This window comes from Homo sapiens, chromosome 8 (genome assembly GCF_000001405.40).
Source record: "Homo sapiens chromosome 8, GRCh38.p14 Primary Assembly".
NCBI lineage: Eukaryota > Metazoa > Chordata > Mammalia > Primates > Hominidae > Homo > Homo sapiens.
The window spans coordinates 26,959,459-26,975,060 of record NC_000008.11 but is presented as its reverse complement, the minus strand read 5'-3'; the positions used below and the strand labels follow the sequence as shown (position 1 = coordinate 26,975,060).

Here is a 15,602-nt window from a genome sequence, read left to right as displayed (position 1 = left end):
AAATGCAATTATTATTATACACTAAGCGACAGCCTCAAGAAATTCCCAAAACTAGAACTTGTACAAGCCACTTTCTCTGGGGTGCAAAAATATATGCAAAATAAGTAAATAAAAATAAAATCACCTTAATAACAAATATGAAAAAAACTGGTTACAGACTGTTAGAAAATAAAAGAAAAATCATGACATTAAATCTTATGGGTGTAGTCACAAAATAGTTATTAGATAAAATGTATAGCTTTTTGTTTTGTTTTTTTTTTTAGATGGAGTTTTGCTCTTGTTGCCCAGGTTGGAGTGCAATGGCATGACCTCAGCTGACTGCAACCTCCACGTCCCAGCTTCAAGTGATTCTCCTGCCTCAGCCTCCCAAGTATGGCTTTTAAGTGCTATTTTAATCAAAGAATATTAAAATAAGTAAGCAAATAAAGTAGTACAAGAAGCTAGAAAAAGCAACAAAGTAACACTAAGAAGGCAGGATGAAGAAAGTGATAATGATTGTGGTGGTCAATTTTATGGATTGACTTGACTGGACCACAGAGTGCCCAGATATTTGGTTAGATATTATCTCTGAGTATGTCTCTGGGGGTATTTCTGGATGAGATTGACATTGGAAACATTACATTGAGTAAAGCAGTAAAACATTCATCCAATCTGTTGAATGCCTGAATAAAATAAAAATCTGAGTAAGAAAGAATTCTTTTTCCCTGCCTGACTGTCTTGGAGCTGGAACACCGGTCTTTGCCTTCAGACTTGGACTTGGACTAGATCTAGAGCTTATACTATTGACTGTCTTAGTTCTCAGGTCGTTGAACCTGGGGCTGAACTATATCACCAGCTCTCCTGACCCTCCAGCATGAATTGCAGATCTTGGAGTTCTTAGCCTCCAAGGAACTGCATGACCAATGCAATTTAGTTATGTATATATATATGTGTATATACATGTGTATATATAGTTATATGTGTGTATATATATATATAGTTTCTGTAGAGAACTCAGACTAATACAAAAGCAGAACACTTTTTCTGACAAATGCAGAATATAAATAACACTAATAAAAATGTCATTATAGGAACTACCATTTATGAAGCATTTTCTCCATGCCAAGCCACGTACTAAGTGTTTAATCCAGACTGTCATTGAATTCTCATTTCAATCTTATGACATAAGTACTGTGATTGTTCCCATTTTACCGGTGAGGAAACAGGTTTTGCGAGGTGAGGTAACTTGCCGAAGGTCAAAAACATAAGAGGCAGGATTTTGCCCCAGGAAGTGTGACTACAGACCCCATGTACTTAATAAAAGAACTGGACACTGCACAGTCTACGGTCTACATCATCCAGGATACCACTGGTCAAATTTCAGAGAACACCTTACTGATTCTCACATACTGTTTCTACCTGCATATCCTGTGGTATTTGAATTAAGTTATTTCTTCTAACCTACCCTCACCACACCCCCAACCCTAGTGAGTATGCACACGCACACACATACACACACACAACTCACCTGACACTTGCTTGACCCTCTCCACAATCTGACAAGACAGACAAAATAAGGACTAATTTTTTCTTCCTATGTTGGATCTTTAACGGTTGATGAATAAGTATTCTCCTACCATTCAAATATGGGAAGGTTTACCCAGCCCAGCCTGTTATAGAACTGAACTGGGGTCCACTCACCCAGCACAGTAAGACCAGATAACCACACCGAGTTTGCAGTGGGGAAAAGGAAGGCATTTATTTGCCGGGTGCCAAGCAAGGAGCACCAGGTAGCTAATGCTCAAACTCTGACCTCCCTAGTGGTTTGCAGGTAAGGATTTTTAAAGGCAGGGTTTAATTTCAGGAAAGCAGAAACTGCAGGCAAAATTGCAAACCAATACCTGGAGGTTACAGATTAGTTTTGGCCTAAAAGGGTGGGATATCTTAAAGTGGGGGTCGTGGGTGGCGGGGGGTGGAGGGGTGGCTTACAGGTCATAGGTAAATTCAAAGATTTTCTGATTTGCAATTGATCAAGGAAGAGAAGCTTTGTTTAAAATTTTGGGGTCAGCAGAAAAGAATGTTAGCTCTGGCTCGTGGGCATGACCTCCTTGAGGCCCTTTGGGAAGAAGTTTAGAAGGAAAACAGCCATCAGCGTTCAGTCTTTAGTACCTCCTTATCTGAGGTCTATGTGCCAGCCAGTGGATTCATGTGGTAGGGGTCCAGGTTCCTGAAAAACAACTCAGAGTATGTTAAGACGTTACTTTAGTTTCCATAGGAAACAAAATATCTCCTTACTCTAACTTCCTCTGCCATTATTTTTAAGTTACTATTATCTCCTTACTTATTAAGGTAGTCATTTACTTTTCATGGCTAGCTAGATGCCTGGAATTTACCTTGAAGGAACTCAAGATTTTCCTTTATTTCCATGCTTCATGGGCACACACATCCCTAAGATGGATCCTTGTGCCATCTCAAGTCCTCCCCATGCCCACCTTGCCTACGGCCGTGTGTGATCTCATGAAGCTCACCTCTGCACTCTCTGCCACCAATGTCCCTGAGTGTCTCACTCTGCCCTTCTGAAAGCCTTTGTAATTTACAGTTTGTGGCTTCATTTACCCATGAATTATTTAAAACCAAATCAACAATAGTTTGTTTTTCCTTCACTTAACATCCACAAATAAGAACAAGTTCCAAGGACAAAAAAAAAAAATTCTGCATATTTGTAAATTTCTGGTCCCTATCAGTTCACCAGGCAGCAATAGTTGGAAAAAAATAAAATATCCAACCCAAGTGTTCATCAACAGATGAATGGTTAAGAAAAATATGGTACTTATACACAATGGAGTACTAGTTAGCCGTTAAAAAAGAATGAAATTCAGTTATTTGCAGCAACATGTATGGAAATGGAGATCATTTTGTTAAGTGAAATAAGCCAGGCACAGAAAGACAAACATCGCATGGTGTCACAAAAATATAGTTAGAAAGAATGAATAAGGCCTAGTATTTGATAGTGCAACAGGGCGACTATTCAATAGTAATTTAATTGTACACTTTAAATAAGTAAAATAGTATAATTGGATTGTGTGTAACATCATGGATAAATGCTTGAGGGGATAGATATCCCATTTTCCATGACGTGATTATTATGTGTTGCATGCCTGTATCAAAACATCTCATGCAACCCATAAATATATATACCTACTATGTACCTACAAAAATTTTTAAAACATTAAATCTCCACTTTCAGATCATGTTCTCACAGTGACAAATTAAATGCAGTTAGCTAAAATATACCTTTATTTGGCCACTGCAATTTTTTCAGATGTGACAAAAGTAAATCTTACTTTTAAAGGATATTTATATAAATAAGAAATCAGTTGGCAGATACTAAGACAAACCCCACAAGTAGAACAAAGGTAAATTGCAATTAGTTGTTTTATAAGCATTGTGCTCAGAAAGCCTAGTATTTATTCCAGCTTTGTACATACTGTATAATGATATAGTATCTCTGAAACCATACATATTTAGAGACCCTAATTATAGCAATGTGATGCTTCACTCTCTTATTTTCTAGGCTTAGTTAAAAACTGAAGCTAAGTGGAGTCAGAGTGTACCAGTTTATTCTACAAGTTTAGCCCAGTTACAAATCATGTTACAAAAACAATCATGCTTTAAGAAATAAACGACATTGCTGTATTTCTCATCCCTTTAGAATGTGATGCCCACTGCGGTAGAAAGCAGAAAATAAGAATGTTTCACTGGGTTTTCATTACCATTCAAGGAAGCAGGTTGGGTCATGTCTTTTGGTTTCTTTTCATGTTATTCTGTTATAATTAAGGACAGATGGGCCTCAGTTTGGCTGTTTTTGTACATTTTATATACTTTGTGGAAATATTTTTGGTTCAAAAGAACTAAGAATGTACTTTGTCCTAAACATTCTTTCTTTTCATTTTCAAGTGATCATGTAAACATTTACAATGTTTTCTGATTTATTTACACTTACCTCATCAAAACTTTTCACAGCATGATTTTGGACAGGCTAAAATAAAACCAAGCTCTCTTATTTATACGAGACCTGAATTCTAGAATCTCACTGTAGAGTCCACCAAACACTTTTCTCTTAGAACCCATACAGTCATGTTTTACCAAATATAATTGAGTTTAAAAATCCACTGGGTTTTCATTCCATCTGAAATTCATTGGGCCATTCAAGTCCTGGGTATCTACTGGGACTAAACCCTTCCATCCTGCATGGTTTTTCGTCCCATGATAATTCTATGGTGAAAGTGATACTGGTGGGCTGGGGGAGGTCCAAATGCTGGTGAGACCTCGACTCCAACCAGTTTCCAGGCCCTTAACACCACTGTAAGAAAGAATTCAAGGATAAATCTGAAAATAGTGAAAGTACAGAGATTTATTGTAATGGGAAAAGTACACACTCAAGCAAGGAGAGTGTAGATGTACTCAAGACAGAGTCACCCAGTGGGGTTTAGGGTATCTTTCTTTATGAATTTATTTAACCAAGGGATGGGATATTCATGAAAATTCCTGGAAAAAGTGGAGATTTCTTGGAATTGTGGAGTCGCCCATTTTTACACCAAATATGGGTGTTCCTGGAACTGTCATGGCACTGGTGGTTGGGTAATTATGTAAATGAGCATATAATGAGGTTCTCGGTGGAACCTAGGTCAAATCCAGCCCATGTTGGTTCCAGTCAGTCTTAGCCAGCTTGGCCCACATCCTGTTTTTCAGGGTCTTATCAGCCCGTAGCATCTAGTCATGTGAAACTGCTGTGACCACCCTGTATTATTCCTGTCTGAACAGCCCAGTCTGCTGAAAACCCATCATCTTCCCTTCAAATCTGTTTTTCTCTTCAAGCATATTTTCTCAGAAAATGGTTCACCCAGAAACTGAGAGTCATCCTAGATCCTTGCTTCTCACTCATTCCCCTCCCCTCACCACACTCCACTGAATTTAGTTCATTCCACCTCCAAGTGACAGGGACAGGAGGCAGGGAAATTATGGGCAGAAGAGGGTGGGTCCCCGGCAAGAGCCCCACCCTCAAGCCTGAAACTGTGGCCCAAAGTGAGGACTTACATCCCTGTTTTCCTGCTTAAATATTGCCTTTTCCAAAACCACCCATGCCCACCTTGCCCCACATCCTGTGTCCATAAAAACCTCAGGCTCAGCTGGCAGAAAGGGGAGAAGAAACTGGACGTTGGAGACTACAGTTGGTCAGAGAGAAGCAGCTTGACTTCAGAGGGACAGCTTGATGGTGTAACTTCAGAGAAGAATCTGGCCAGAGATGGCTGGACAAGAGGACCTTCCTACTCTATCCCCTTTTCAGTTCCCCTTCCAGCTGACAGCCACTTTCATGGGCAATAAAATCCCCCACATTTACCATCTTCAATTTATTCCTGCAAATGGCAGAGCTAAAAGAGTACTGTGACACTTCCTCTGGGTCTTTGGAGATCACAGGCACCCCCTAGCCCCAGATGCTGCCACAGGGCCAGTACAAAGTTCACTCCTGCCAGTGCCCAAAAGCACTCATTCCAGCTCCTGCATGCTCCTTATCCCAGTGCAGGAGGTCCCAGTGAGTGGAGTTCACCCTTGTCAGTGCCAAAGCAGCCAGCCTATGCAATTGTGCATTTTGTCCATATTTGTGCAATAACTTCCTGGAATGAGTTGATCCACCCCATCTTGTCCTTCCTCAGTCCATTGTTCACTTATAGCCAGAGGGATCTTCTAAAGTGAAAATCTGAATCCCCTTCTCAAAGTCTTTCAATCATCTCCCATCACTGTTGGAATAAAACTCAGGGTTCTTGGTAGGTTTTAGCAGGCACTTCTTTACTTGTGTCTGTCTTCCTCTTCAGCCTCCTTCCTTAACCCCTCCTTGCCTCTCACTACACAAGACAAGGAACTTCATTCAGTGGGACATTTCCTTCCTCCAGGCCTTTGCTTTAACTGTACTTAGAACACCTCATACTCTCCACTCCCAGCAGCTCTATCTCTGGGAAAGTCCTACACATCTTTTTGAACTTGGCTTTAAAGTCATTTTCTTTCTGAGCCTTCTTATGCTAGATTAATTATTGCTGCAATGTACTCACTAGCAAAGCACCCCTGTATACTTTGCCTGGACACTTAGTTTGCTTTTTCAGTTGTTTGTCTCCTTGGCTAGACCTTCAGTTCTGTGAGGACAGTGACCGCATCTTTTTCCCCTGGTTTTGTATTCAGCCAGCCCAGCACCAGGCACCTAGGAGGCAACCAATAATTATCTGTTGAGTGAATATTAAGTGATTGAATTCTATCCATGATTTAAAATATATCAGCATTCTTTCTTCTTTCATAATGAAACAGATTTAACATTTGGTCAAAAGAATTCTATCTGTTTAGCATAATAATAACAATTTGTTGAATGTTTTATTGTATACCAGGCATTGTTCTAAATATAGTCAGTTCTTTTATAATGAGATATTTGCATTGCAAAAAAATCACCATGTTATGCAAAATCATGTGATTAAAAAACTATGGAAAAAATGGAGTTGAGATACAACACTCAAAAACTGCCATCAGTGACACATTAAAAAAGTTAGAAAACCAATAAAAATGTGGCAAGCTTTTACATATATTGGATGATTAAGAAACAGATAAATTACTGGAATAAACTTGGAATTTTAACAAGGTCTGAAGTTTTCTTGTGGAATTGGGCTTCGGAAGGGCTACTGGCCTGTGTTATTTTGAAGTGACAGAAGGAGGAGTATCTGAAATGGAAAGAAAAATAGAAACACTAGATGTGGCTCATGATATATGCAGTGAACTAAGGGAGAGGGTAGCTGCTTGAGGTGTGTGTGTGCGTGGGTGCTGTATGTGTGTACAGGTGTGTGCATGCAAACATTTGGTATATTTCTACATTAGCCCCACTCAGCCAAATGCAGGTTTCTGTGCTCATCTAGCATTTCTCATGAATAAAATTATGCACACAACAATGCAAAATTCAAGTGAATGCTCGAATTTTTCCCTAATATATGAATTATATGGGGCCAAATTCCCATTTTCAAAACAAGTGTTATAGCAGAACTGACAGTCAGTTAAATTTTTAAACTTATAATCCTGATTCAAAGCCAAAAATGTTGGTACTGTATTTATCTCCATTTTATAGATGAGGAGATTAAGGTATATAGAAAGTTGAACTAACTTGCTCAATATATACATTTAATAATTAACAGAGACCAGATAACAGCACAGGCAATCTCTTCCACATCTCTGGCTTGTAACCACTATGCTAGATCACTGTATCTTCTAATAGTCTTTATTAGAACTTATATTTCATTGGTGTTGGACAATACTTTCCACAGCCTGCCTTCTTGACAAATAACATCCAAATAAAGAATGAAGAATCTAATAATTCATTTGCTTCTCTTTATATCTGAAGCTCTGGGGTTATTTGCTCTCACCCACTGATGTCATAGGATGTAAAGAAAAAGAGTAAGTTTTGAGTCAGGCAGGTGACAAATCCTGGTTCTTCTGACTTACGGTCTTTGAAGCCAGGACAAGTCAACTTCAATGAGTCTATCTTCCTATCTGTAAAATGGGGGTGTTAATTCATATCTCAAAATATTTGGGTATAATAGAAGAGATACTGGGAAAAAGGGCTAGTAAAATTTCCCCAGCCCTCTTCAATGCCTTGTTAATTGCTGAAATTCCACATGTAATGATTAGGATTTTTCAAATTAACTATTGCTTTCTTCATAAAGTAAGCAAAATCTACCAGGTTTCTAGAAATTTCCTTTAAATAAATTTTTCAGGAACGCACTCACTGACTGGCTTGGAAGGAGGAATGCAATATAAGAGGAGAATCAATGCACGGAGGTGACCAAGATTTCTTCCTTCACAACTTTGCCTAGAGCTGGCTGTATCTGCAGTTTCAGTATGGTGCCAGATCATCCTCTCCCTGGCCCAAGCTTTGATGCAATGATAGCTTCCAGTTCACATGAAAGCTAAAGTAAGACAGGGGGTGCATATATAATGCCAATGAAATTATTTTCCAAACATAGAGTATTCTTAACTTCTTCAACACGGTTATACACTAGTTACCTTATTTTACTCTGAAAAATATGGTGATTGGATTGTATGATTCCAATTTAACAGATGGGGAATCTGAAGCAGAGAGCTTAGGTTTATGGATTTTTAGATAGCTTAGAACTCATTAGTAGCAGTGGGCAGCTCCAGAAACTAGATCTCCTGTCTCCAATTCCAATGGCAATATCAATTATTCTACAGTTTCTTCCTAAAAGCATAATTTACTATTAAATCTCTCATTGGTTCACAATCCTTTATAATTATCTAAAATGTACAAACACTGTAGTAACAGTAGGAATGCAAAGATGACTACTGGTCCCAAATCCTATGAACCTACCACATAACATGAGGTCTGAAGGTATTTTTATCATCTCCTGAAACCAGATTTCATATTACGAATTGACTGAAGTACTGTGCCCCAAATTTATTTTTGTAAATTCCAAAATATTCTTGTCTCAAAACAAGAAAGTCAGAGTTAGAAAACCCATTAAGTAGGTGAAGGGGTATCAGGTGCGTGGAAGAAGTTTAAGAATTATGACAGTAATACCTTTGCACAGTAAGTATAAAATAGAAAAAGTGATCGAAACAGAATTATTTTCTATGATAGTTTAAAAGATTAATGGTGAGCTTGACCCCAAATTAGCAGAGTAACTGTCAAAGAATGTGCCATACATTATTGAAATTTTCTATTCAGCAAATAAAGGTTGGCAGAGGACAATATTTTCTAATATGTATTTTATCAAATGCTGATTTCTTAAGATATTGTGTGAAATGCTTGGAATAAAAATAGATGGATTTCTTTACTGTTGGATTTTTTAATGTCTTTATTATGAAGATATACATGGTGGATCTCTAAGAAGGAGATGACAATAAACTGTTTCCAGAATCTGTCTCTCTCTTTTTCTCTAGATTTGTATTTAAAGAATATACTTTTAGAAGTCTTAGCATAGAGGATTGAGGAAAATGAGAACCAATTAATTCCATCCTTCTTAAAATTGCTTCTATGTGTCCAAATGTTTGATAATACTCTGCCTGAGTTTATTTCACTTGCCATGGAGTTGTGGACTTGAGCTTTTCATCTACATTTCAAGGTAACAAATATATATATATACTCCAACACAAATGAATAAGCTATTTATCCATGTGCAAAGAAGCAGCCTGTCTGCTATTGATGAAAATAACCCAAGCACTGTAATTGTGCACTCCTGGTCTTTAGACTCGTTCGTATCTGGGATTATTGTGGCTGTCTGATGGGTGATTTTTTAGGGGCTCTTCATTATTATTTCACTGTGAAGTGTGATACTTACCATCTCCAGTATGTGGTCTCCGTGCTTCCTCTCAGCTTTTGAACAGGTGCGATGCAATTTAAAAATCATCCTGAATAGTGAAATGGACAAAATGAGTTTTCTGTGAGCATGAAAGGCAAATTGGGTAAATGGACTAGCCTGGTCTGGAACTAGAACTTCAATGAATTTTCCAGCTTCAAATAGAACTAATGCTATTTCATAGCAAGTTATTCTTCTCTGTTCCGTTTTGGTAGTATGAATCCTGAATTTAAAATTAGCATGACAAAGCACTTTCTTGTGGATAGATTCCTGCTTCAGGCTGCATTCATGCTGCAGAAGCTTTGGTTCAGCGAGTGCCAACTGAATAAAAGTACCACCCTCAGGGTCAAAGCATGTTCCTTTTTTCCTTGCAATCATCTGACTGCTGGGTGCTCCTAAAAGTATCATGGAAAAGAAATCTTTTCTCTTCTTTCCAAGGAAAAGGAAATTCTAGAATAAAGAGTAGCCATTTAAAAATGACCTGTGAATCTTTTCATTAAAGTTGGAGGGCAGACCTCTCCAAGGCAAGGAAGTAATAATCCCTTCCAGTCAGACCAAGAGATAGAAACGTGAGCATTTTCTTATTCTCAGGTGCTGTCCAGAATGCCTCACTGCCTCTCAAGAAGATATAAAAGAAGAACTAAATAAATATACAAATAGAAATTAATGAAACAGAAAATAGAAAGCCAGTAGACCTGATAAATAAATCCAACGGCTCATTCTTTGAAGAGACTAATAAAACACAAATAGCGAGGCTAATCATAGTCTCTGGTCAAATGTCACATCCTCAGACAAACCTTTTTGAATTTTCTGAATTTTTTCTGCCTATCTTCATCACTCACTTATTCCTTTCCCTTGCTTTATTTTCTTCAGAGTTAAAATTCCATTGTATAGCTATTTGCGACTTTTTCATCAAGCCTCCTATTTTTGCACTGTCATCTCCAAAATGAAAGAGACTTTTTCTGTCTTGTTCACAAAGATATCCTCTGCACCTATTAATTACTGTGTATAGAATATAATAGGAGCTCTATAATTACAGTTGATTAGATAAATACTATAGAAGAAAAAAACATGTGTTTAATAATAAACATGAGAAAGGAGATAGATGATAGACAGAAATCTATGCAGTTCTTCCAAGATCACACATATGGAGACAGATATATAGAGGTATATATCAAAGGAGATATATATATATATATATATGTATATACATACGTATATCAGATGTATATATACACATACATATATCAGATATATATATATATAGTCTTTCTATATATGATCTTGGAAAAATTGGATAATATTATTTGATATATATACATATATAAAAATCTACATCTATCTCTCAGTCTCTCTGTATATGATCTTGGATAAACTGAATAAATATATGAAAAATAATAAAGGCATAGGTTAGTTATACTTTATATTAGTAAGTTCCATATAAATTAAATATGATCATGTTAAACAAAATATTAAGATAAAATATATATGATATATGACTATATAATCTTCTTAGGTGTTGAGCTGGGAAGGTCTTTATAAAAATGATCCCAGAGCAAGCATAAAGGAAAAGATTGGTAGTTATGAATATCTTGAAACAAAAAGAAAAGCAAAATTTTAGAAACAAATAAATGGAGAAAGTATTTGCAGTGTACTATACATATACCATAATCAACAAAGGATTAACATTTTAATATAAAAGAGCTTTTAAAATTCATGAAAAAGATGAGTACCTCTTTCAAAAGAAAATATATAAGCAGGTGCTATGGTTTGAATGTGTCCTCTCCAAAATTCAGATGTTGCCAATGTGCTAATATTAAGAAGTGGGGCCTCTCCAAGGTGATTATGTCCTGAAATCTTTCCACATTAATAGGATGAAGGCCTTTATAAAAGAGGCTTCACACAGTGTTCCGCTAGCTTGCTCTCTTGCCCTTCTGCAGGGTGCCATGTGAGAACGCTGCAAGAAGGCTCTTACCAGGTGCCAGCAACTTGATCTTGGACTTTCCGACCTCCAGAACTGTGAGAAATACATTTCTGTTATTTAAACATTACCCAGTCTCCCGTATTTTGTTATAGTAGCATAAATGGACTAAGACAGTGGGCAATTTGCCCAAGAAGAAATGCAGATGGCCAGTAAACACACTAAAGTTAGCAAAGAAAAGCAAGCTCAATGCAATTCCACGTTCACCTATGATAATAGCCAAAAAGGTAGCCAGAAAGGGAAATACTCTGTTTTGGTGAAGACATGGAGAAAGAGCTATTAAGTAGTTTTGATGGCTGGGAAATTGATTGAGTCTTTATGGAAAAGAGTCTCCCAGTTATGTATCACAAATCTTAAAATTGGCATCACCTGTGCAATAGCAGTTTTACTTCTAGACATTTACCATGAGAAAATACTAAGGAAATGTGCTAAGATTTAGTTACAAAGACAAAAGAACAATTTTGCTTATGATGGCCCTAAATTAGAAACAAATTAAATATCTAGCCATTTTGAATTCATTAAATAAATCATGGTATGTCTGTATGATTTAATTTGAATTAGCCATTTATACAGGTGATTTATACAGCCACTAAAACATTGGAACTACTATAGCAAATAGTAGGCTGATGGAATCAGCCTAGATGTCCATCTATCACGGACTGGATAAAGAAAATGTGGTACATATACATCATAGAATACTACATAGCCATGAAAAAGTAACAAAATCACGCCCTTTGCCGCAACATGGATGCAGCTGGAGGCCATTATCCTAAGAGAATTAATGTAGGAACAGAAAACCAAATACCATGTACTCTCACTTATAAGTGGAAGTTAAACATTGAGTACACATGGACATAAAGAGGGGAACAATAGACACTGAGGCCTACCTGAGGGGAGAGAGTGGGAAGGGGCATGGATTGAAAAACTACCAATTGTGTACTACGCTCACTACCTGAGTGATGGGATCATTTGTAAAGCAAACCTCAGCATCATGAAATTTACCAATGTAAAATACCTGCTCATGTGTCCCCTGAACCTAAAAGAAAAATTGAAAAAAATTGTGTTCTAGGTATTAGATGATGTTGAGGAGCTACTACAGTAATTCCCCCTTATTTGCTGTCAGAGTTGAATAAGACAATGCAGGTACCAGGCTTCCCACAGTGTCTGGCACAAGGAATGTACCTCCCCAGAATGTAGAAATTTTCAAAGTCATAGCAGGAGGTCAATGAGGCACTTGGAAAACTAGAAGCCCTCTGCCAGCATGACCACTTTGGCTCTGAAAGATTAGCTCCTTTCTCCCAACAGAGGCCTGAATCTCGATGAGGCAGGGCTAGTGAGGCTTGGGTAGGACCTAACACAAGTGGGGAGAACCCCTAGCTGCAGGAAGAGAGCCAGATGCTAGCACAGGAGGCTGCTTAATGGATAAGAGTGTATTTAATAGAGGAGAAGAAAAATGCTTCCTTCAAAATTTTGCCTGTGGCAACAGAGGAATAAGCTTCCCCTGTTGCATGTAATAACTCGAATGGTGGTAGTGGCAGGGCGGGAGTTGGACTGACTTCAGATCCTGCTCTCTAAGCCACTGGCTCCTCTCTGGAAATCCCTACTCGCTCTTGATTTTCCTTCCTGAAAAATCATTTTCATTTAAGTAGGACTTTACTGCTGAATGCAAAAGGCAGACTAATTAAAAAAATTAACTAATAGGGGCTCTCTATCTTGTAGTTAACTCCTGGCTGACAGCATAGCCCTACTGCACAGGTCCCTCTAGGCTCCTACAGGGAAATTTATCCTGCAGTTGTTTTCCAGCTCAAGTGAACATTCTGAGTCTCTGATTCCTTTCTTTCCAATCAGATCCTCAGGGGGCATGGCTTAATCAATGAAAAGAATTATAAGGTGAAATAGGAGGATCAATGAAAGGTAGAAAAAATATTCTTGGTCTGCTTCAAAGTAGACTTAATAAAACGCAAAATGCTGCAGATAAGCAGAAAAAGAAGGACTTCCATTTATTCTTCTTTTATGTAAAACATTTAAAGCAATATCTAAAGGATTGGGTACTAGACAGACAGTTGTAGCTTCTAACACAGGCTTTAAAATAAGACATGCTGGGGGGAAAGATTTGGTTCTTTTAGTTCTAGGTGGTGATGCTATATCTTCAACATGAGATCACTATTTCTTTGGTAAATGAATACTGCCAGTTGAACCCAATTGCCAGTCACAGAAGCAATGCTGCACAGCTTCTTGCTTTTACTTTTTCTAAAAAATAAGAGAGAAGGTTTAATTTTACAAATAATGTGGGAATGTGGAATTCAGGTTTGTTATTCTGTCTCCAGTCCTCCACCCACATCCTCTGACATTTTAGCCACATCTTTAATCTATAAAGATGAGGAGCAAGGACCCTGTAAATAACCTGTGAAAGGAAATTGGTGCAGAATAACATGACCATCCAGACATACTCCTGTGCCTTGAACAATTGAACCAAGGGTATTGTGTTAGTCTAGTGGTTCCCAATCTTTTTGGCACCAGGGACTGGTTTTGGGGAAGATCATTTTTCTGTGGATGGGGCTGGCGTGGGGGATGATGGTTTTGAGAAGAAACTGTGATCATCAGGCATTAGTTAGATTCTCATAAGGAGCATTCCTAGATTCCTTGCATGTGCACTTCACAGTAGGGTTTGTGCTCCTATGAGAACCGAATGCTGCTGCTGATCTGACAGGAGACAGAGCTCTGGCAGTAATGCTCTCTCGCATGCCACTCACCTGCTGTGCAGCCTGATTCCTAACAGGCCACAGAATGGTACTAGTCCATGGCCCAGGGGTTGGGGACCAAGGTGTCGGTCTGTTTGAGCTGCTGTAGCAAAGTATCATAAACGGAAATTTATTTCCTCATGGTTCTGGAGGCTGGAAGGTGTTGGCAGGGGTGATTTCTTCTGAGACCTCTGTCCTTAGAGTATCAAAAGCCACCTTCTCCTTGAAGGACTCAATCCAGCTTAGCCTTTCCTCTGTACATGTGTGTGACCTAATTTCCTCTTCTTATAAAGACATCAGTCATATTGTATTAGGGCTCACCCAAATGACATCATTTTACCTTTATTACTTCTTGAAAGGACTGAAGTCCAAATATAGTCTCATTCTGAGGTGCTAGGGTTAGGACTTAAATATATGAATTTTGGGAGAATGCAAGTCAGCCCATAATACTCCATTATCTGACTCTCAAAATTCATGACCTTCTCATATGCAAAATTCATTCACCCCATCCCAGTAGCCTCAAAAGTCTTACCATAATACAGAATAAATTCTAACTCCAAAATCTCATCTAAACGTGATCTAAATCAGTTATGATAAGGCAAAAATAAATGATTCATCCTGAGGCAAAATTCCTCCCAGTTGTGAACCTATGAAACCAAACAAGTTATCTGCTTTCAAAATACAATGGTAGGACAGGCATAGGATAGATATTCCCATTCCACAAGGGAGAAATAGGAAAGAGAAATGGGAGCACAGGTTCCAAGCAAGTGTGAAACCTACCAGTAATCTCTTAGTAAACTAGGATACATTTTCTTCTTTAACATATTGAAGAGTCTGTTTCAAATTAACAACCAATATTTTATTAATATTGAGCCACAAGAGATTTTCTAATAAAAGTTAAGAATAAGACAAAGCAACCACTGTAATATATAACATTATTCTGAAATATTAACTTCATGCAACTTAACAAAGGTGACAATTGGGAAGACAAAATTATCACTATTCTAGATTATGTGAGTATCAAACTGCAATAACTAGGAAAAACAGAAAATTGACTGGAATGGGAAAATAGACATTTCAGCCAGTTATAAAAGAAATATTTTACTCATCAACAGTAACCAGTTAAAAAGTATAAAGAAAAAAGAGTCATTATCAATAGCTTTGTGAAATATAAAATACATGAAGTAAACTCAAAGGGTATATTAAACATTAAAAAACTTTACTATGGATATAAACAAAGACAAATAACTGGAAAATAATCACATTCTTGTAACAGGAAGATAATAGTGTAAAGATATAAACTCTCCCCAAGTCAACCATTTAATAAAATTCTAAGAAAAAATTTCAGTTATATTTTTGTAACTTAGAAAAATAACTCTAAAATTTCTTTGTATGAAAAATGGTAAAAGATAGCCAAGAAATATTTGCATTTGATTAACCTGAAATTTCAGCTCCTGAAAGGGATAGATTATTCAATATACTTTGATGTTATAATTA

The 15,602-nt window shown here is 37.5% G+C and overlaps 1 long non-coding RNA gene across 1 annotated transcript; it reads left to right on the top strand.

Annotated features, from left to right (window-relative positions):
- Positions 1 to 330: 330 nt before the first annotated feature.
- LOC105379339 (uncharacterized) lies at positions 331 to 11,398 on the top strand. The gene is made up of 4 exons (XR_949605.1): positions 331 to 370; positions 7,785 to 7,981; positions 8,968 to 9,149; positions 11,324 to 11,398. It is a non-coding gene; the product is annotated as an uncharacterized LOC105379339 (long non-coding RNA).
- Positions 11,399 to 15,602: the final 4,204 nt, after the last annotated feature.